Below are 21,236 nucleotides of genomic sequence, written 5' to 3'. Positions count from 1 at the left end.
GTGGACCAGTGGCGAGCCATACCCCAAGAGCAGGTTGGGAGGGATGGGAAATTATTATGAGGAAATGTCAGGGGTAAGGGACGATTCTGGCTGAACCAACTAGACAGGGTTCTTGGTGAAGGCAGGCCAGCTGGGGAGATATCAGACATCACCTGGAGCTGGCGGGGGATGAGGATTTGATCAGATATCAAGGGTGAAGGTTTCTAGCTAAGACAGCTTCACACGGGTCTTGGTAAAATTGGATGATGCAAAGACATGGAAGCCCAAAGGTCAAGGCCTAGTTGGGAAGAGGATCAGAGGAGCCTGACTAAAGTTTAGTCAAGGCTAGGTGCAGTGGCTCATACCTGTAATCCCGATACTTTGTGAGGCCAAGGCGGGAGGATTGCTTGAGGCCAGGAGTTTGAGAACAGCTTGAGCAACAGAGTGAGAGCTCATCTCTTAAAAAAAAATTAGCTGGGGATGATGGTGTGTGTGTGTGTAGTCCCAGCTACTTGGGAGGCTGACGTAGGAGGATCTCTTGAGATTGGGACTTTGAGAGTACAGTAAGCTATGATGGTGCCATTGCACTCCAGCCTGGGCAACAGAGTGAGATCCTGTCTTTAAAAATAAAATAAGTAAAATCAAAAACTATAGTTTAATCAAGGAGACACTGTTTGTCATGGGACGAAGAGATCCAAGAATGCAGAAACAGAAGACCTGCCCATTTGGAGCTGATATTCTAGTGGGGAGATAGACATCTGAAAGAAATAATTCATAATTTAAATCAGAAGGTGTGCACTGAGGGCTTGAAGCATCATTCATGCCCTTATTCATTCAACAAGTATATTAGAATTCTCTAGGGAACTCTAGAGGGTTCAGGACTAATAGGATAGATGTATATATGAAGGGGGGTTTATTAAGGACTATTGACTCACATGATCACAAGGTGAAGTCCCACAATAGGCCGTCTGCAAGCTGAGGAGCAAGGAAGCTAGTCTGTGTCCCCAAACCTCAAAAGTAGGGAAACCAACAGTGCAGCTTTCAGTCTGTGGCCGAAGGCCTGAGAGCCCCTGCCAAACCACTGGTGTAGTTCCCAAAGTCCAAAAGCTGAAAAACTTGGGAGTCTGATGTTCTAGGGCAGGAATCATCCGGCACGGGAGACAGATGGAGGCCAGAAGACTCAGCCAGTCTAGTCCTTCCATTTTCCTCTGCCTGCTTTTATCCCAGCTGTGCTGGCAGCTGATTAGATGGTGCCCACCCAGATTGAGGGTGAATCTGCATCTCCTAGTTCACTGACTCAAATGTTAATCTCCTTTGGCAACACCCTCACAGACACACCCAGGAATGATACTTTGCATCCTTTAATCCAATCAAGTTGACACTCAATATTAACCATCACATCAATGCCTCATTCTACCTTGATCAGGGCAGTTTTGGGAGGAGGTGGTGATGCAGCAGCTGGCCTTGAGGAAAGCCCAGAATTCCATCCTTGAGGCAGGGAATTCAAGCAGAGTCCATTGCGCTGACGAAATACAGATCCGTAATAAGAGAAGCTTTGGACGGGGTAAAGTTTGTCTCTACCATAGATGTTGCTTTCACTCTGCTTTTGGGAAATGTTACAGTAGAGTATCACACAATATTTGGTTTTGATGTTTTAGGATAGATACATTATCTTGGAATCACAAGCCCCCTTTCCAGAATATACCAAGGAATTGATAGATATCATTGGGTATCATGAGCAGTTTCGGTTGGACTTTGGATTATAGCCAATATCATGCCAATGGAATCCGTCACCACTGATGGTTGGACCTTTCCCAGCTGGGAAGGGAAATGCATACTTACAAGGACATTTGCATCTTCTGAAAAATCATCCTAACAATAAACTCCTATTTTCATATTTGGAGAGTTTGCATTTTAAAAAAGATAACTAGTAGTGTTTTTATCTTATTATAGAAGTAATTTATGTTTTTTGTAGAAAATTTGGAAAATGCAAATAAAGAGAGGAAAATTCAAATCACTTATAACCTGACTATCTAACACAATCACTGTTGATACCATGGTGATTTCATCAGACTTAAAAAAAATAGACTTCAGATCATCTGCTGCTGTTACTTGAGTCCCACCCCCCACAACCAATTTTTTTTTTTTTTTTTTTTTTTTTTACCGTGGTAAAATGCATTCTTCTTTTTTCCTTTTACTGTATATCTTGAAGAGCTTTCTGGCTCTGCCAGAGTCTCTACTTCATATTTTTAAGTGGCTTCCCAAAATTCCACTAGGCCATAATTTATTTAGATTTTTTTTTTTTTTTTTTTTTTTTTTTTTTTGAGATGGAGTCTCGCTCTGTCGCCCAGGCTGGAGTTCAGTGGCGAGATCTCGGCTCACTGCAAGCTCCGCCTCCTGGGTTCATGTCATTCTCCTGCCTCAGCCTCCCGAGTAGCTGGGACTACAGGCGCCCGCCACCACGCCCGGCTAATTTTTTGTAGTTTTAGTAGAGACGGGTTTCACCGTGTTAGCCAGCATGGTCTCAATCTCCTGACCTTGTGATCTGCCCATCTCGGCCTCCCAAAGTGCTAGGATTACAGGCGTGAGCCACCGCACCCGGCCTGGATTAATTTTCTGTTGTCGAACATGCAGGTTGTTTCTAGTTGTTGGTTTTTTTTTTCTCTTCTAAACAAGGGTGCCGCATTCAGCCCGGAAACAAAATAGATGCGCATCTCCATGATTAGTTTCTTAGAATCTAGCATTGGCTGGGCCAGAGGGGATGCAAAATTTAAGTATTTTAACACGTAGTCATCTCGGACATTTGTAGAGAGCTTACTATGGGCTTTTACATGCATGATCTCGTTTAATTTTCATAGCGTAGGTAGGAGCTGTTATTATTCCTCCTTCAAGATAAAACATCAGAGGCTCAGAGAAGTTTAGTAACTTGGGCCGGGCGCAATGGCTCACAGCTGTAATCCCAGCACTTTGGGAGGCCGAGGTGGGCAGATCATTTGAGGTCAGGAGTTTGAGACCAGCCTGACCAGCCTGACCAACATGGTGAAACCCGGTCTCTACTAAAAATAGAAAAATTAGCTGGACATGGCGGCCCATGCCTGTAATCTCAGGTACTTGGGAGGTTGAGACAGGAGAATCGATTGAATCTGGGAGGTGGAGGTTTCAGTGAGCTGAGATCGCGCCATTGCACTCTAGCCTAGGCGATAGAGCAAGACTCCGTCTCGGGGGAGGTGGAGGGGGGAAAGAGAGAGGTTTAGTAACTTCCCCAAGACCTCAGAGCTGGGCAGTGGCATAGAGGGGATGAAGCCCCCTGAGCCCACCGCAGGACCTGCACTGGAATCTGACACTGTACTTCCTGCCAAGCTGTCCTTGGACAGCAGTGGGTGTGTAGACCCTTTCCCAGAGCACAGGACTGAGAATTATTTCTGAAACAAACAAACAAACAAAACAAAATCAAAAGCTCTGTCAATTGGGCAGTTGATAAACTTTCACTTTGCATTTCTTTGTTTATCAGAAAGGTTGAATGTATTTAAATGTTTAATGAGCCTTTCATTTTTAGTGAATTGACTTGTATCTCTTGCTTATTTTTTAAAATATGAGTAGCTCTTTCTTGCTGATTTGTGAAACTGCTTTATGTATTAAGATTGGTAAAATCAGGCCAGGTGCAGTGGTGGCTCACGCCTGTTATCCCAGCACTTTGGGAGGCTGAGGTGGGTGGATCACCTGAGGTCAGGAGTTCAAGACCAGCCTCTTCAACATGGCAAAACCATGTCTCTACTAAAAATATAAAAATTAGCTGGGCGTGGTGGCTGGCGCCTGTAGTCCCAGCTACTTGGGAGGCTGAGGCACGAGAATTGCTTGAATCCAGGAGGCAGAAGTTGCAGTGAGCTGTGATCATGCCACTGTAGTCTAGCCTGGGCCACAAAGCAAAACTCTATCTCAAAAAAAAAAAAAAAAAAAAAAAAAAAGATGGTAAAATCCATCTCCTATCTCGTGTGTGGTAAATATTTTTTCCTGTTTTTTCACTTGCCTTTAATTTTACATTATTTTTCAATATACGGTTTTTTGTTTGTTTTGGGTTTTTTTTTGTTTTGTTTTTTTTTTCTGAGATGAAGTCTTATCCTGTCTTGCCCAGGCTGGAGTGCAGTGGCGCAATCTCAGCTTATTGCAGCCTCCACCTCCCGGGTTCAAGTGATTCTCCTGCCTCAGCCTTCCGAGTAGCTGGGACTACAGGTGCGGGCCACCATGCCTGGCTGATTTTTAGTAGAGATGAGTTTTCACCATATTGGCCAGGCTGGTCTTGAACTCCTGAAGTCAAGTGATCCGCCTGTCTCCACCCCCCAAAGTGGGATTACAAAGTGCTGGGATTACAGGCATAAGCCATCGCATCTGGCCCAATGTAGGGGTTTTAAACATCTTCACATAGCTGGATTTATATCTTTGTGGTTTCTGCTTTTGGTGTCATGCTTAGAAAGTCCTGCAAGTACTCCATGGCTTTATAAATAACCCACTTATATCTCCTTTTGGTTACAGTAATGGTTTGATTTTTAAATATTTAACTCTTTTTTTTATTGTTTTCTTGAATTTATTTGATCAAAAAGAGGAATTGGTGACATAAGGAGATGGAAAAATATGAGCTGATTTTATAAAAAATAATTTTTAGGTTGTAATTATTCATTTAGTTGTCATGGTAAAATATTTTATAGTAGTCTTAATTATGTCTTCACAAATATCTTTTTAAATTTTTTTTTATTATACTTTAAGTTTTAGGGTACATGTGCACATTGTGCAGGTTAGTTACATATGTATACATGTGCCATGCTGGTACGCTGCACCAACTCGTCATCTAGCATTAGTTATATCTCCCAATGCTATCCCTCCCCCTCCCCCCACCCCACCACAGTCCCCAGAGTGTGATATTCCCCTTCCTGTGTCCATGTGATCTCATTGTTCAATTCCCACCTATGAGTGAGAATATGCGGTGTTTGGTTGTTCTTGCGATAGTTTACTGAGAATGATGATTTCCAATTTCATCCATGTCCCTACAAAGGACATGAACTCATCATTTTTTATGGCTGCATAGTATTCCATGGTGTATATGTGCCACATTTTCTTAATCCAGTCTATCGTTGTTGGACATTTGGGTTGGTTCCAAGTCTTTGCTATTGTGAATAATGCCGCAATAAACATACGTGTGCATGTGTCTTTATAGCAGCATGATTTATAGTCCTTTGGGTATATACCCAGTAATGGGATGGCTGGGTCAAATGGTATTTCTAGTTCTAGATCCCTGAGGAGTCGCCACACTGACTTCCACAATGGTTGAACTAGTTTACAGTCCCACCAACAGTAATATTTAACTCTTTACTATGTTAATCTATTTTTTATAAAGTAAACTTCTAATGATACATATTTCTCCAAATGGTTAATCCAGTGCTCCAATACCATTTGTTGAATGACTCATTTCTCTGCTTACTTGAAATGACACATTATACATAGTTAGTCTGTTTCTGAACTTCTATTCCATAGGTATGTCTGATGCTTTCTGGGTCAGTGTCCCGGTATTTAAGTCACCTTACGTTTATATTATACTTTAATATCTCATAAGGGAAGTCTCCTCCATGATGAACCTTCTCTTTGCAAGGATTGTCTTAACTGTTCTCACCTGTTTATTCTTATGCTAGAACTTTAGAACCATTTTGTTGAGTTCTAAAAATAATAATAGAGGCCGGGCATGGTGGCTCATGCCTGTAATCCTAGCACTTTGGGAGGCCGAGGTGGGCGGATCATGAGGTCAGGAGATCGAGACCATCATGGCTAACACGGTGAAACCCCGTCTCTACTAAAAAAATACAAAGAAAATTAGCCGGGCATAGTGGCGGGCGCCTGTAGTCCCAGCTACTCGTGAGGCTGAGGCAGGAAAATGGCGTGAACCTGGGAGGCGGAGCTTGCAGTGAGCCGAGATCGTGCCACTGCACTCCAGCCTGGATGACAGAGCGAGACTCTGTCTCAAAAAAATAAATAAATAAATAAATAAAATGATAATAATAGAATTAGTATTTTGGTTGGAATTTGGTGAACTTAGAAATTGATTAAAGGAGAATAATTTTTTTTTTGCAGTATTGAGTCTTCACATTCAGAAGTAAGGTACATCTTTTCTTTTATTCTTACCTGTTTCATATGCCTCTGGAAGAAAATCGTAGTTGTTCATTTGCAGGACAAGAAAAGATGTTTTTTCCCTCACTCATTGCTAGGTTCATGGCTTAGGCCCCTATAACAAAAGATAGATTAAAGAGAAAAGAGGAAATATACAAAGGTATTTAATATAAGTTTTACATGACACAGGAGCCTTCATAAGGAAACAAAGGCCCAAAGATGCAGGTAAACTTGTGTATTTTTATGCTTAGGTTTGATGAAAAAGTGGATAGTTGTGGAGATAGTTGATTGGACAAAGAGAGTGTGATCTAATGGTAATAAACTGGGAGGAATTTGCCAAGGCCTGTTTGTTCAGATTCCCCTCTGTGCTCCTGTGTCTTCAGAGATAAGGATGTTCCTTTCCCCTTGGTATACAGAGGGCACCTCTCCATGAGGGTCTTCTGACTTGCTTCAAGAGAAAAGGGCGGGAGAAGCTCAAAGAGTGACTTCCCTAGGTTTTATGACCTGCTCCAGGGGAGAAGGGTGTGAGGAAGGTGAGAATGGCCTTCCTGGTACTGCTGTTTTCTCAAATGCCAAGGTGCCAGATTTGGGGATAGTGTGTCCTGAAGGCTATCCCATCCATTCAACAAATATTCTTGAGCAGCTCCAATCATTACAGCCCTTTTCATAGAAATTCTACTTGTTTCATTAAGTTAATTACTCAGTGTTTTAATCTTTGTCACTATTGTGAGTGATATTCTTTTGCTATTATAGTGGCTTCTCTTCTCCACAGGTATTTTCTAATTAACTATTGCTGGTGTGGAGAAAACTTGGATTTGTGAATATCACTTTCCTAGTCAGCTGCCTTATAGAGCATTCTCATTGGTCCTGTGGTTTCTCACAGGTTTCCTTGAGTTTTTCCAGGAAGACAGTCATATTGTATGCAAGTAGCAATACTTCTGCCTTGTCCTTTCCAATATTTTAATCTTGCCTCTTTGTCCATGGATTGAATTGTCGTCATCTTTGGGGACTGGACTGGGCAGAAGTCATGAGCATCCACATTCTTGTCTACATCCTGAGTTTGATGGAATGATTGCTGTTTGCCTACTGCTTGGGGTACTGGCTATTTGCAGCAGACTTTGTCATGTCCTGGAGGTATCCTCTTTCCCATTTGCTAAGAGGGCTTTGTTCAAAATCAGAAATGAGGGCTGAATTTTATTAAATGCTTTTTCAGCCTCTTCCATACAAATGATTTGCATTTCAGAATTATTTCTGCAGGCAGGTGGACCATAAACACCTTGAAGTCAAGAACTGTCCTTAAGACCATCATAGACAGTCATTCATTCCCAACTGTATAGAAACCTTACATAGAAACAACCATAGGAAATTATCAGTCTTCCCTGCAGTAGGTACTCAGTCAACATGTATTGGAGCCCATGGGTGCAGGCTCAGTCACTGGCATGAATTTTAGGAGGATGTGAAAGAGAAAGCACTCTGAAAATTTGGAGGTGGGATGGCTGGGGAGCTTCACCTCCCCGTATGCACTAATTAGGAGGCCATAAATGTGAGGAGACATTTCATTTCATCCCGTTTTCCAGATGAGGTTAGTATCATGTTTGCCTCAACTAGGAACTGAATTACAATGCCATAGACATTTAAATTGCGGGACATAAAGTGCTTGTCAAGTGCTAATTACAGCCTTGCTGGTCTCCTGTATTACCAACCTCAAGATTCTGCCAGCTGCCAGCAGGGGCAGGCTTTCCAGCGAAGCACCTCGCAGGAAAGGTGCCACCGCGTTGGGGCGCATTCTATATGTTTGGGAAATTAGACTTGCTTTCTAAGTAAATAAGCGGTTAGGGTGCCAGTGGTTAGAGCTGGCAGTGGTTGGTAGTGTCCCCAGGATAGTTCTAGTTGTTTTGGCTGAAAACAAATTGTTCTAAAGCAGGATGAAAACAATATGATCAAGGTGAAAATTAGGTCCAAAATAATGAGTTGGCAAAAAGAAAAATCAGTACTCCCCAGTACTGGATTTCCATGTATTGGTAATTCTGGTGCACTCTTCATTTAGTCAACAAATATTAACCATTTATTATAGGTTGTAGACAGTGGGGGTTGAGGGAGGGTACATCAATGAACAAAACGAGAGTTCCGTCCAGAGAGCTTGCGTGCTGATAAAGGAGACAGACAATGCAAAAATAAATACATCTTAGATAGCTAGCTAGGTAGGTAACATGTTAAGTGGTGATGGCACTAGGAAAAAAAACAAAAACAAAGGACAGTCAGGCCCTAATATTTACGGGTGAGTGATTTCTGTTTGAAACTGGTGTCCAGAGAAGGCCTCTCTGAGATGGTGCTGGAGCAGAGATTGGATGGGAGGAGAGAGAGAGAGCCCTGTGAAGGTCGAGGCTGGAGGGAGAGCCACTGCAGGCCCTGAGGCTAGTGTACTTGAGGAGTTTGAGAACAATAAGAGGGCCCGTAGGACTGGAGCAGAGTGATGGAGTGGGGCAGGGTCAAGTGTGAGACAGAGAAGGGATGATCCCATAGGGATTTCTGGCCATGGGACATTTGAGGACTTTGAGCAGGGAAATGACATGATTTGACTTATCTAAGGGCCATTTTCCAAACTCTGCTCTTAGGTATTTTTGGTTCATTTCTCAAAAGTTTTTTGGCAGAGCAGGCACAATTGGCTGAAAATGAACAAGATCTAAAGAGAGAATACATAGCCAATAACCACCATGAGGACCAGAAAAAAAATTCTGAAAAATCAGCAAAACTGCTTGAATGCCTATAAGATGTTGTAAACCTGTCTCAGGTATCCTCCAGTTATTAATATGTGAAAAGCCAATGACCAGGGCTCTTCGCTTTTGACTTGATTGCTGTCTGGATCAAGCCTTCAGCTGTCTGGGGGCTGGCCAGTGTGCAGTTTGCCAGACACCTCCCTTTGGTCAAGAGCCTGGGTCTGGAGGCGTGCAAGTGGCCCAGACCTATCTTCTTGAGCTGAAAATAACTGCTGCAGATGGTAAGACTTGGGCAACGGTAGTGCAGTTGGGCTCCAAATAGTGCAGTAGTCTTCTTGGCTATGTGAAAAGATTATTTCATCTTTAGTGCTACCACTGTTGTTTTATGGGCCTGTAAGGCAGGGGAAGTTGAGGCTGAGGGCATAGCTTGAGTGGATGGCCATCTGAGGTCCCAGGTCCCAATCTGGAATTCTTTCAGTTGCATCACAAGAGACTTCTGTGCCCACAGAGCACCTTGCCCATCTCTGTATCAAAGCATTCATCCTATAATAGTGTAAAGATCTGTTTCTGTGTTTGTCCAGCTAAATTGGGACTTCCTTTAGTCAGTATGTTTGGGTTACATGTAAGCTGCTGTAAAAAAGAGGCTCAAAAATACAGCGGCTTCAGTAAGTTGAACACTTATTTCTCCCTCAGTCAACATTATGGCTGGTCCAGACATCTCTGCTCCACAAGGTCATTCAGGGATCTGAGTTCCTTAACTCTTGTTGTCCCATCGTGCTATAGGATTTGCCCTCATTGAAGTAGTTGCAATAGGGTCCCTGCCACATTTGTGTTTTAGCTCACCAGAAGGGGAAAAGAGGGAAAAAAATTGCAGAAATCCAGAGCAAGCAACTTGTCCTAAAGCTGAAGATGGCCTAGAAGTTGTACATGTCACTTCTTTTCAATCCCATTTCAGAAATTTGTCACATAGTCATACCTAGCTGCAAAGGAAGCTGGTTACATTTAATCTCTAGCTAGATAATGGTGTGGCATATTAGTTTTCTATTGGTGCTATAAAAATTTACCACAAACTTATAGCTTAAAACTACACAAATTTATTATCTTATAGTTCTGGAGGTCTGGAGTCCAAAATGAGTCTTGCTAAGGTCAAAAGCTTGTCAGGACTGATTCCTTCTGGAGGCTCTGAAGGGAGAATTCATTTCCTTGCTTTTTTCAACTTCTCGAGGTCACCTGCATTCCTTGGCACATGGCCCCTTCCTTGCATCACTCAAGCTTCTTGATTCTGTTGTCACATCTCTTGCTATTCACTCTGATTTCTAGCCTCCCACGTATAAGAACCCTTGTGATTACATCAAACCTATCTGGGTCTAGGATAATCTCCCCATCTCAAAATTCTTAGTCACATATGCAGAATCCCTTTTGCCATGCAAGGTAACATATCCACAGGTTTCTGGCATTAGGACATGGATATATTTGGGGGGGTGTGCTTTGTTCTATCTATTACAGGTGAGAAGAGGTTTTATTACTAAAAGAAGGAAAGGGAGAAAGGATGTCAGAGGAGTGTCTTCTTAATGCCTGCCACACAGATGCTCTGGAAATGTTGAATACAGCAACATTTGGTGGAGTATTGCCTGCCTTCCTCCATACCACCCTGAACTTCATTGGTTCAACCAATATCTCTTTATACAAAGCAAAAGGTGGCGGATATCCAGTGCTGATCTTTAAGTGCATAGACTCTCAATCTGGGGCAAGGGAAATGAAGAGGAGGCCCCTAGTGCAGATTAGCTGTCCACACTTGTTACTGTTAATTTCACATCCTTCCTGGATTCCACTCACCCACTCCCACCTTCAGAATAGACACATAGCCCTACACAGCTAAAACTGAGCCCATTATCTGAGGCTGCAAATGTGGCTTGTTCTCCTAGTTTTCCAGAACTGTCCTCATGCTGATCACACAAGCTGAGGGCTTTGGCGTCATCTCTAACCACTCCTTTTCCTTGGCCCTCCCCTGTGTCCGCTGACTCCCTTCATGTTTCCAGATCTCATGGTGTTCACTCCTAGCCTTTCTTCATAGCCTCACTGCTCATGGAACTGGCCCAGGACTTGTCACTGTGGTTAGGGCACCTGCCACAGCCGTTCACCTGGCCTGCCTTCCTCTGGTTCCTCCTCCTTCAAGCCTCTTCCATCCATGGTGGCTCCTGCTTTGGCCACTGACCAAAGCACCATTGCCATCCTGCCGTGCTTGCTGGGAAGTCACCACTTGGTTCCCACTTCATGGCAGGTGAAAACATATCTGCGTTCACTCTCCATGTGTTTGACCTGGTGTGGGAACTAGAAAAGGCCCTTCCCTCTGAGTCAGAGCTCCCAGGTTCCATCCTCTTCCCTAGACCCTCTAAGAGGCCTGGGGAAGACACATGCTTCCTGTGAACCTCAGTTTCCAGCTTCGTGAGAAGGGAGAGCCTGGCCAGCTGAACTTTCACTTTAAGATTTGGGGATTCCTTCCAAACTAGTCCTTGGGACTCCTGCCACTGAAGCCTAGGGAGGCAGAAAGAGAAGAGGGTGTAGAGAGAAATGAAGCTTCCACACTGTCCCCTCCACAATGCCCCTGTGGATGGCTCACATGCACAGCCTCTTCCATGGCCTTGAACCCTCCAGTCTCAGGGTCTCCCTTATCCTCCTTGAGCCCTGTTCATAGCAGGAGTACTGACATCTCTTCAGCTCTGAGACCCAGCTAAGGGCTGGCAGTTTGGCCCCACCATGCTGGGCCGCCACCTTGTAGCCTCTCTTCTTGTCTCATCTGTCATGGACTCTCCTGTGTGGGCATCTCACCTCTTTCATCCATCACACCCGAGTCCTGTACTGTAGGTGTGTGAGATCCAGGTGCCGCCCTGCCCTCTGCTACACTGGACTCCTGCAGTGCCTGGAACACAAAAGGTCCTGCGGTGGGGATTTTTTTCTTACCTATTTCTGCCTCTTCCCCCACTCTCAACCCTCACTGCCCACCAGGCACCCAGCACTCAGGGCCCCTAGACCAGGAGCCAGCACTTTGAAGTGAAAATGGACAAGGTGAAGGATCCTATGGCACCCCCAGATGTTCACGTGGCATTCCTGGCTTTCGTGATTGGGTGGGATCTGTTTGTTCAGAGTAATGTTGATGACACCACTGCGATTCCTGGGCTGTGTGGATGGATTTAGTGAAGTCACTTGTAAGAACAAGCAACTGGACATGGGAATCCTGTGGAAGCTTGGATTTCCATGTCATTTAGCTACTCTATCTTAGGCTCCTTTTGTGTTCCAGGCACCATCCTGGGCAGTGGAGTGGAGAACTGCCAAGGGAAGTTTATAAAAACCCCCTGTTCCCTCTCTAGATGATGATGGAGACAGAAATGACCACACAGCCTGAACTGTGCAAGGCTGGAGGAGGGAGTCTCTAACTGTTAAGCAAAGTTTATAAACCATTTCTCCTTCCCTAGAGGATTGATGTGGGGTATGTGGACAGGATTTGCAGTGACTGATGGGCCTCAAACGAGGCTTTGCCCTTAAAAAAAACCATTATCATTTATCTCCTCCTCAACAGGGCTCCTCATGACCTTCAGAGGCAGCAGCTGAAGTGTTAGCAGTGAGCGTAGGTCAGACAAGGGCTTGTGTGTCGAACAGTGCTTTATAGGAAAACCACAGTGATAGTGGCAATTATGCAAGGCTTTCCATGCTCTGTTATGCCCCGTTTATTCAGGATCTTTAGGGCATCAATTGTACTCGGGTGCTTATTTTCAGGGACCTAAAGTTTTCACATTTAAACACCAAAAGTGTTTTCTTTTAGATATTGGCCATCCTGTGTATCTTTCTAAAATCTTTTTATTCCCTGTTTTTTTTTTTCAACTTAGAAAACGTTTTCTCGTACATATTCATGGTAGAAGAAAAACCAAGAAAATACTTATAAAGTATAATAATTTTCTCCCTTCATCTACTCCTCTCAGAGATAAGTCCTGTTCACATTCCACCTTCTAAGATACGGTGATTTTAATTCAGTCTTTTATTGATGACTCAAGATCTTCATCTCAGTCCTCATTAGTTGTCCTCTGCACATGTAGCATTTTCCCCACCATGCACTATGATTCTTGGTATAAAAAGTGCTGCACGAGGCGATTATCTATTTGGCTATTTTATTTTCTTGGTGCCAGCTGGCACTTTCTGTGGCTGTACATAAACCTTATATTCCTTTTGCCTCTCTATATGCACCGGGTCTTCTTGATTCTAAGATGCACATCTTCCCTGGATATTTTAATGTTTCTGAAACCAGGATGTACCTTGCCAGAGGACAAAGGAATAAGTTCTTGTGGACATTGTCACCATCTCCGTGTACATGGGGTTTCATCTATTTCCCACCTCAGTTGCTATGGTCACTTATTTCATTGGAGACTTTACAGTCACTTGAATTTTAACTTACATTTGGATTCCTAAATGATTGCTTATTATGTGTTTTAGAAGATGACACTATAATGAAGTAATACAATTATTGTGAATGTAGAAGATTGCTGTCATGTGCCAGCCAAGATGATTAAAGGCAGTTGAAATTGCCAAATCTCCCAGAATAGATCATAAAATTTTCAGAGTTAAGGGAGGTGGCCGTGACCAACTTTTGTGTCATGAAGGAATATCAAGTGCCCGAAATTATTAAAAGCTTTGGACAGACTTTAAAGATAAACTGTCTAGTTCCCATCAGCAGATAATTTAATTAAAGAAAAGTGAAACAGCAAATAACCAAATAGGAAATTCAGATGAAAGGCCCTTATCTCCTTTATCCTTGGGTTTGCCTGAGAATTGTTCTGTTCATTTGAAAGATGCTGAGGGGTTCAAGGTCTTGCAGTCTGGGTCACAAACAGCAGGGCTTCAGCAGAATGCTGTGCCCATCTGGCCAAGACAGGCACCGACTCAGACGAACCCTGAGAATCTGCATCTGAAGAAGGCTTAGATTCAAACTTTGAGTGTAGTATTGAAGAAGAAAGTGGTTTGAATAAACCTATGCTTTTTGCTGGTCAGTAAAAAATATTTCTGTGTTCTCACTTAAAAGGGAAGTTGTGACACATGCTACAACATGGATGAACCTTGAGGATATCATGCTAAGTGAAATGAGCCAGTTACAAAAAGACAAATACTGTCTGACTTCACTTATATGAGATTTCCTGAGTAGTCACATTCACAGAGACGGGAAGTGGAATGGTGGTCGCCAGGGCTGGGGGAGAGGGGAAATAGGGAGTTGTTTTTTTAAGGGTGTAAAGTTTCAGTTTTGCAAAGACAAAAAGTTCTGGAAATTGGTTGCACAACATTGCGAATGTGCATAACACTACTGAACTGTGCATTTTAAAAAGGTTAAGATGGTAAATTTTATATTATGTATTTTTTCATCACAATTAAAAATTATATTTCTGGGTTCTCTTGGTGAGAGCACCATCATCCACCCAGTTCTACAAACAAGAAACCTTTGATACCTCCTTCATGCCCCCACCCAGTGATCTCCAGACCTTGTAGGTTTTATCTGCTAGTTCTCCAACTCTCTGCTTTTTACCATCTCTTTGATCATAGTCCAAGCTACCATCATCTCGAGACAACAGCGGTGGCCTCTTAACCACAACCTCATGGACTTCTTGCTGTCCTCAAATTCTTTATCCAGAGTGAACTGTTCAAAAGTCTGATTGTATTGGGCCCCCATTTAAAAGCCTTCCTTGATCAGGCAAATGCAGATCAAAACCACATGACATGTCACTTCACACCCACCAGGATGGCTAAAATCCAAAGTCAGATAATAACAAGTGCTGGTGAGGATGTAGAGAGACTGGAACCGTTGTTCATTCCATGTGGGAATGTAAATGGTCTTTGGAAAACAGTCTGGCAGTCGCTTAAATGATTAAACATAGAGTCACCATATGACCCAGCAGTTCCACTCCTAGGTATGTATCCAAGAGAAATGAAAGCATATGTCTACCTAAACACTTGTACATTCATGTTCATAGCAGCATTATTTAGAATAGCCAATAAGGTGGAAAGAATCTAAATGTCCATCAACTGACGAATGGACAAACAAAATGTGGTAGATCTATAAAATAGATAACTGCTTGCCCATAAAAAGGAATGGAGTACTGATGCATGCTACGACATGGATGGGCCTTAAAAACATTAAGTGAAAGAGGAAGCCAGTCACATAAGATCCTGTGGGATTCCATTCGTGTGAAATGTCCAGAATAGGCAAATACATAGACAGAAAGTAGATTAGTAGTTGCTTAGAGATTGGCAGAGAGCGGGAAGTGGGGCGGGGGGGTGGCAGTGGTTGCTAAAGGTATGGGATTATTTTCCTGTTTGTCTTTTTAATGAAAGCAAGATGATGTCTGTTTATTGGTGTCTTTTAAAAAATAGGTCTGGGTATATTTAGGTTGCATTTTCCATTTTTTTAATCATGGTAAAATACACATAACATCAAACTTACCTTCTTAGCCATTTTAAGTGTATGTACAGTTCAGTGGTATTAAATACATTCATAATGTTGTACAGTCATCACCACCACCCATGTCCATAACTCTTTCCATATTGTAAAACTGAACTCTGTATCCATTAAACCATAACTCACCATTCTTCCCACCCTCTAGTCTTGGCAACCACCATTCTACTTTCTGTCTCTACAATATTGACTACTCCAGGTACCTCAGATGAGTAGAATCATACACTGTTTGTCTTTTTGTGACTGACTTCTTTCATTTAATACAACGTCCTCCAGTTTCATCCATGTTGTAGCATATGTCAGAATTTCTTTCCTTTTTAAGCTGAATAATATTCTCTTGTATGTATACACTCCATTTTGCTATTCACTCATCTGTTGACAGGCATGTGAGCTGCTTCCACATTTCAGCTATTCTGAATAATGCTGCTATGAACATGAACACACAAATTTCTGTTTGGAATCTTGCTTTCCATTCTTGCGGGTATATACGTAGAGGTAGAATTGCTGGACCATATGATAATTTTTAGGGGGGAACCGCCATATTGTTTTCCATAGCATCTGTATCATTTTACATTCCCACCAACAGTGCCCAAGGGTTCCAATTTCTCTATGTCCTCATCAACACTTGTTATTTTCTGGACTTTTTTGGTAGTGGCCATTATAATGGATGTTACATAGTATTTGGGTTTTTTTTTTTTGAGGTGACGAAAATGTTCTATAATTGACTGTGGTGATTGTGCATATGTGTGAATATACTAGAAAGTATTGAATTGTACACTTTGAAGGGGTAATTTGTATATGTGAATTATATCTCAATAAACCTGTTTATTTTTTAAAAGCTTTCCATGGCCTACTCTTCCTAGCAGAAAGTCCACAGTCCTTCGGCTGGCCCTTCTGCCTGGCCCTCATCCTCCCCTAGTCCCATCTCAGCTGGAGACTGCACACGTGGCTTGCTGGCATTCTGCCCTTTGCCTGGCTGCATCCTCCCACCCCCGCCCTGGTCGCTTGCTTCGTTCTCCTGGTTGCGTTCTCTTGGTTCTACCTTGTTAAGATTCGAGCTCAAACATTACCTTCTCAAGGAGGCCTTTCCTGACTCCTTGGACTAGATTCCTCATGATGTGTGCTTCTGGTTTCCTGCATGTACATGCCCCATTGACTGTGCCAGCCCCCAGCCCCTGCCCCTAGTCTGTTCTGCATCCTCAATCCCAGCAATAGTCTTCCACATGTATTTGTGGAGTGATGAATCAATAACATCCTAGGTCTTAAGACTTATGGTATTAATGTTCTGCCATTTTCCTAAAATGATTTGAAGCAACATAAAGCAAAACAAAACAACAGCTAATAGGATGACTTATAAAGCTATGTTAATTAAAACATTGTGCTCTAAAACCAAAAAGAGATAGCCAGTCAGTGGAACAGAATAGAAACTCTAGAAGCGTGCCTGAATAAATACAATAATTTAATATATAATAAATTAGAATGTGAAATGATTGAGAAGAACTGAATTTATCAACAAAAGGTATTGAGGATGACTGGTTACATTTAAAAAGTTTAAATGTCAGAACAACCTAATTAAAATGACCAAAGGACTTACATAGACATTTCTCCAAAGAAGATAAACGAATGGCCATTAAGCCCATGCAAAAATGGTCAAGTTCACCAACCTTTAGGGAAATGCAAATCAAAACCACGAGTCACCGCTTTACACCCATTAGGATGGCTTTTATTAAAAAACAAAAAAACACCACAGAAGCAAACAAAATGACAAGTATTGGTGAGGATGTGAAGAAAATGGACCTTTCTGCATTGCTGGTGGTAAAATGGTACAGCCACCATGGAAAACAATATGGCAGTTCCTCAAAAAATTAAACATAGAATTACCATTGAATCCAGTAATTCCACTTCTGGAAGGACACTCAAAATAATTCAAAGCAGGGACTCAAACAGATATCTGTACACCAATGTTCATAGCAGCATTATTCACAATAGCTGAAAGGGGACTCAACCTAAGTGTTCATTGACAGATGAAAGGATAAACAAAATTTAGTGTACACACACACACACACACACACACACACACACACAAAATGGAATATAATTTATCCTGAAAGAGGAAGGAAATTCAGACATATGCTACAACATGGATGAGGCTTGAGGACATACTGCTAAGTGTAATACAGAAGACAGAAAAAGACAAATATTCTATGATTCCAATTATGTGCAGTTCCTGGAGAAGACCAATTCTTAGAAAATAGAATGGTGGTTGTTAGGGGCTGCAGAGAAGGAGGGAGAATTGGGAGTCAGTGTTTAATGGGTATAGAGCCTTAGTTGGGGGTGATGAAAAAGTTGTAGAGATGGATGGTGGTGGTGGTGGTTGTACAACAATGTAAATTTACTTAAAGCTGCTGAACTGTACATTTCAAAATGGCTAAAATGGTCAATTTTATGTTATGTGTATTTTGCCACAATAAAAAAGGAATTAAGAAAGTTAAAATGTTAGCTTTCTACTCCCCAACCTCCAATCTTTACAGCAAAATCATTTCTAGCTTTAATATTTCAGTGTGAAAAAAACCCATAAAATGGTAGAAGTGGCTACTGATATAACCATTGGACGCTGCAGGGCTTGCCTAAGCATGATACCAAGGGGCAGCAGCCACCAAAACAAAGACTGGTAAATTTGAATACAGAATTTAAAAATGTCTGAAAATCAAAGCCACTGTTAAGTTGGGATCCCAGGAAAAAGACTCTGAGATGGAGAATTGCCTGCAAAAGTTTTATTGGGGAGTGTATGGGAAAGTCGACTGTGGCCAAAAGAGGACGGACGGTAGGAGGGAGGGGGCAGAGGCAGAGATGGACCACCACTGTGGTTTCAACTGAGGCTGTTGCTGATCCCAGGGAGAGCCCTGGAGCTGTAATGGCCCTTCAGGGCGGTCCCAAATTGAGGCAGTGGGACTGGGCCTTTGTTTTCCTGCATCGGCCAGTCACTGGCCCTGGGCTGCCCCGTGGGATGAGGCAGCTCCCTGACACTGAGGGCAAGTTCCAGTAAAGGACTCAGTTGTTCACTGTCAGCAGCTGATATTCCTAGCAGCTGGGGGGACAGGCATATCAGCCCAGCAAAAGGGATTGAGGTGGAGCCCCACAGTATCCACTATATCTATAAACAATAACCAAGGCAGATATTTACAACACAGGTCAGATTTCTCGGGAAACTGGCTCCAAACAGATGTGCGTGCAGGAGCTTTATGTTGCAGGGCTATTCTCCACAACAGTACCTGTAAGGGAGAGAGGGAAGCAGGATTGGGCACAGAGAGATTGAACTGCCACACAGCACACAGTTGCAGCAGAGGCCTCAGCTGATGCCGCAGGGAGCCCTGAAGGTGGGAGAGCCCTTCAGATTTGTCCCAAATCAAGGCAAGGGTGTTGGGTCTTCCTACCCCTATGTCAAATAGTTACTGGATGTGGGCTGCCCCTGGGGAGGGGACATAAATGTGGGTAACGCAGCTCACTTGGCCGAGGGTGGCTTCTGGTCAGCAGCCAGCACTCCCTGCAGCTGGGGTAGCGGTGCCCAGCTCCTGAAGGGGAAGGGAGGACCTGGACAGTGGATGGCAGCCCCACCCCACCCAGTGCTCCTGCTGCTGGCATTCACTTTCTCTGTTTAGTAAGTTCACCCCTCTGGCATGTCTTCCCTAGAATTCTATGGTTTGTTTTCCTAGGAAGCTTACAAGAGGAAGTTAGAGGGACAAACTACAACCCCCACTGCTACAGTGGGCTTTGGGAAACAGCTGAGACCCATCATCTCTCCTTTGCTCTCTGTTCTATATTCCCCAGCATCTCTGCTGATTTAAATGGCTTACTGGGTGGGCTGAGCCAGACCCTCATTCCTGAGGACCCTGAGCCCCTGGTCCTGTGTTCTTGTGTTCTTGTCAGACCATGACTGCTGCACTGTCTATTTACTTGTCAAAATTGGGCAAAGGACCACGGAGCACTATCCCAGTGGATCACCTGGGCACCAAACGCACTCTTCCAGGCCCCCATCACCTAAGAGCAGCCCTGCCCCTCTTGATGACCAGGATCAGTTACCCCTACCAGGGCAGTGGCTCCTCTTCTGGTCTGCTGGGTTCTTGGCACAAGGGGCCTGAAGTAACCAGGTGGTCTCTGTAGCTGAAAGATTAATGGTACCTTTACCATTGTCTCACATGGAAAGCCTTCCCTCTCTGTTGCTCAGGCCCTCTAGACCTGTGCTGTCCAATATAGTAGCTACCAGCCATGAGTAACTACTTAAATTTAAATAAAATAAGCCAGACACAGTGGCTCATGCCCGTAATCCCAGCTACTTGGGAGGCTGAGGCCAGAGGATCACTTGAGGTCTGACCAGTCCAGGCAGCATAGCAAGACCCCGTCTATGAAAAAACAAATAAAAATTCAGTTATCCACTCATACTAACCACATTTCAAGTGCTTAGTACCCACAGGCAATTTGTGCATTGGACAGTGCAGGCATAAAATAGTTCCATGATGACAGTAAGTTCTTTTGGGGGCAATGTCTCTAGACCTACCATAACCTAAAGCTGCAAGGATGAGAAGCATGAATTCTCCAAGTGGGTCACTGGGAGTGATCCTGAGTGGAGCCATTCCGACCTCTAGCCCTTGGTTCCCAGACCCATGTATTCTACCTGTTGGGCCACAGCACCATGTAATGATCGTTCATTTAGATTATTCCTTTGGGTTCGTTAGGTTCCTTCCTGGAACATGGTACCCTGTCCTGCAGGGGATCATCTCCAGGCTGGCCCCCTCACCTGAGCCTTCAGAAGGCCATTCCATTGCTCCATCAGGCTGGTAGCTTCTGAGTGATTCGGTCTGTGAGAGGCTCCATAGTCATGTGACCACTGCTACCTTTCCTTTGCTCTCATGCAGTTTCCTTGGTTTGAGGTGATGTTATGTAGGATCTGCGTTAGTGGATCAAACACTCTGTAAACCCCAGACAGACAGTGGTGCTGGCTAAGGCTCTTTGGGCAGGACAGGTAAACCATACCAGAATAGGTGTAGATTACAGTCAAGATAAAGCACTTCCTTTCTGGGGTTGAAGATGTTCAAATGTAATCAACTTGTCTCCAAGTGGCTGGTCGCATCCCTCGAGGGTTGGTGTCATATGGGAACTCAGCTCTGGTCTTTGTTGCTGGCAGGTTGGACGTTCAGCAATGTGAGAAGTTAGATCCGCCCTGGTGAGTGGGAGTCCACACTTCATCTCCTCCAGGGCTCAGAAGCACATTAAGTGCTGCCTTTCAAGCAGCATCTAGTTCTCTGCTGCAGATGGCATGGCCTTGCTCCAGAACCCTAGGGTCTGTGTTGTGATTGTCCTATTCAGGCTTGACACAAACTCCACATGGTGTTTTTTTCCCACCAGATTCCTCTAGTACTATAGGGTCTGCTGGGTCATATGGCTGAATTGTTAGGGCTGCTTGTGCTGCAGCCTGGACCTAATGCAAAGACCTTTTCTGCCCTGGGATCTACACAAAGCTGGCAGCTTTCTGTGTCAATCAGTAAATGGGTCAGAACAGTATTCCCAAGTATGAAATATGCTGCTTTGGGAACCTGAAGAGGTCTTCTTAGTGTTGGGAGGCGCAAGATGCAATAGTTAGTTCTCTTTTCTTTTTTTGTTGAGCAAGCGAGAGAGAGAGAGAGAGAGAGAGAGATTGAGAGAGAGAGACTGACTCACCCTGTCAAGGAGGCTGAAGTGCAGTGGAACGATCATGGTTCACTGCAGCCTGGACCTCCCAGGCTCAGGCGATCCTCCTATCTCAGCCTCCTGAGTAGCTAATACAACAGGTGCATGCCACCACACTGGGCTAATTTTTAAAAATTTTATGTAGAAACAGAGTCTCATTCTGTTGCCTA

At 43.5% G+C, this 21,236-nt stretch overlaps 1 protein-coding gene across 1 annotated transcript in view, besides 1 other annotated feature; it reads left to right on the top strand.

Annotated features, from left to right (window-relative positions):
- The window catches only part of GABBR2 (gamma-aminobutyric acid type B receptor subunit 2), a 420,827-nt gene that overhangs the window by 22,625 nt on the left and 376,966 nt on the right, over nt 1-21,236 (top strand). The gene's annotated exons all lie outside the window — the stretch shown is intronic.
- Nucleotides 18,290-18,475: a silencer, noted in NCBI's record as "fragment chr9:101430118-101430303 (GRCh37/hg19 assembly coordinates)". NCBI's record gives its function as "represses an EF-1alpha promoter that drives an FKBP-Casp9 reporter gene in an ReSE screen in HepG2 liver carcinoma cells {active_cell/tissue: HepG2}" and the evidence as "EXISTENCE:reporter gene assay evidence [ECO:0000049][PMID:32094911]".

The sequence above is a fragment of the Homo sapiens genome, chromosome 9 (genome assembly GCF_000001405.40).
Source record: "Homo sapiens chromosome 9, GRCh38.p14 Primary Assembly".
Classification (NCBI taxonomy): Eukaryota; Metazoa; Chordata; class Mammalia; order Primates; family Hominidae; genus Homo; species Homo sapiens.
This window is presented reverse-complemented; position numbering and strand designations above follow the sequence as displayed.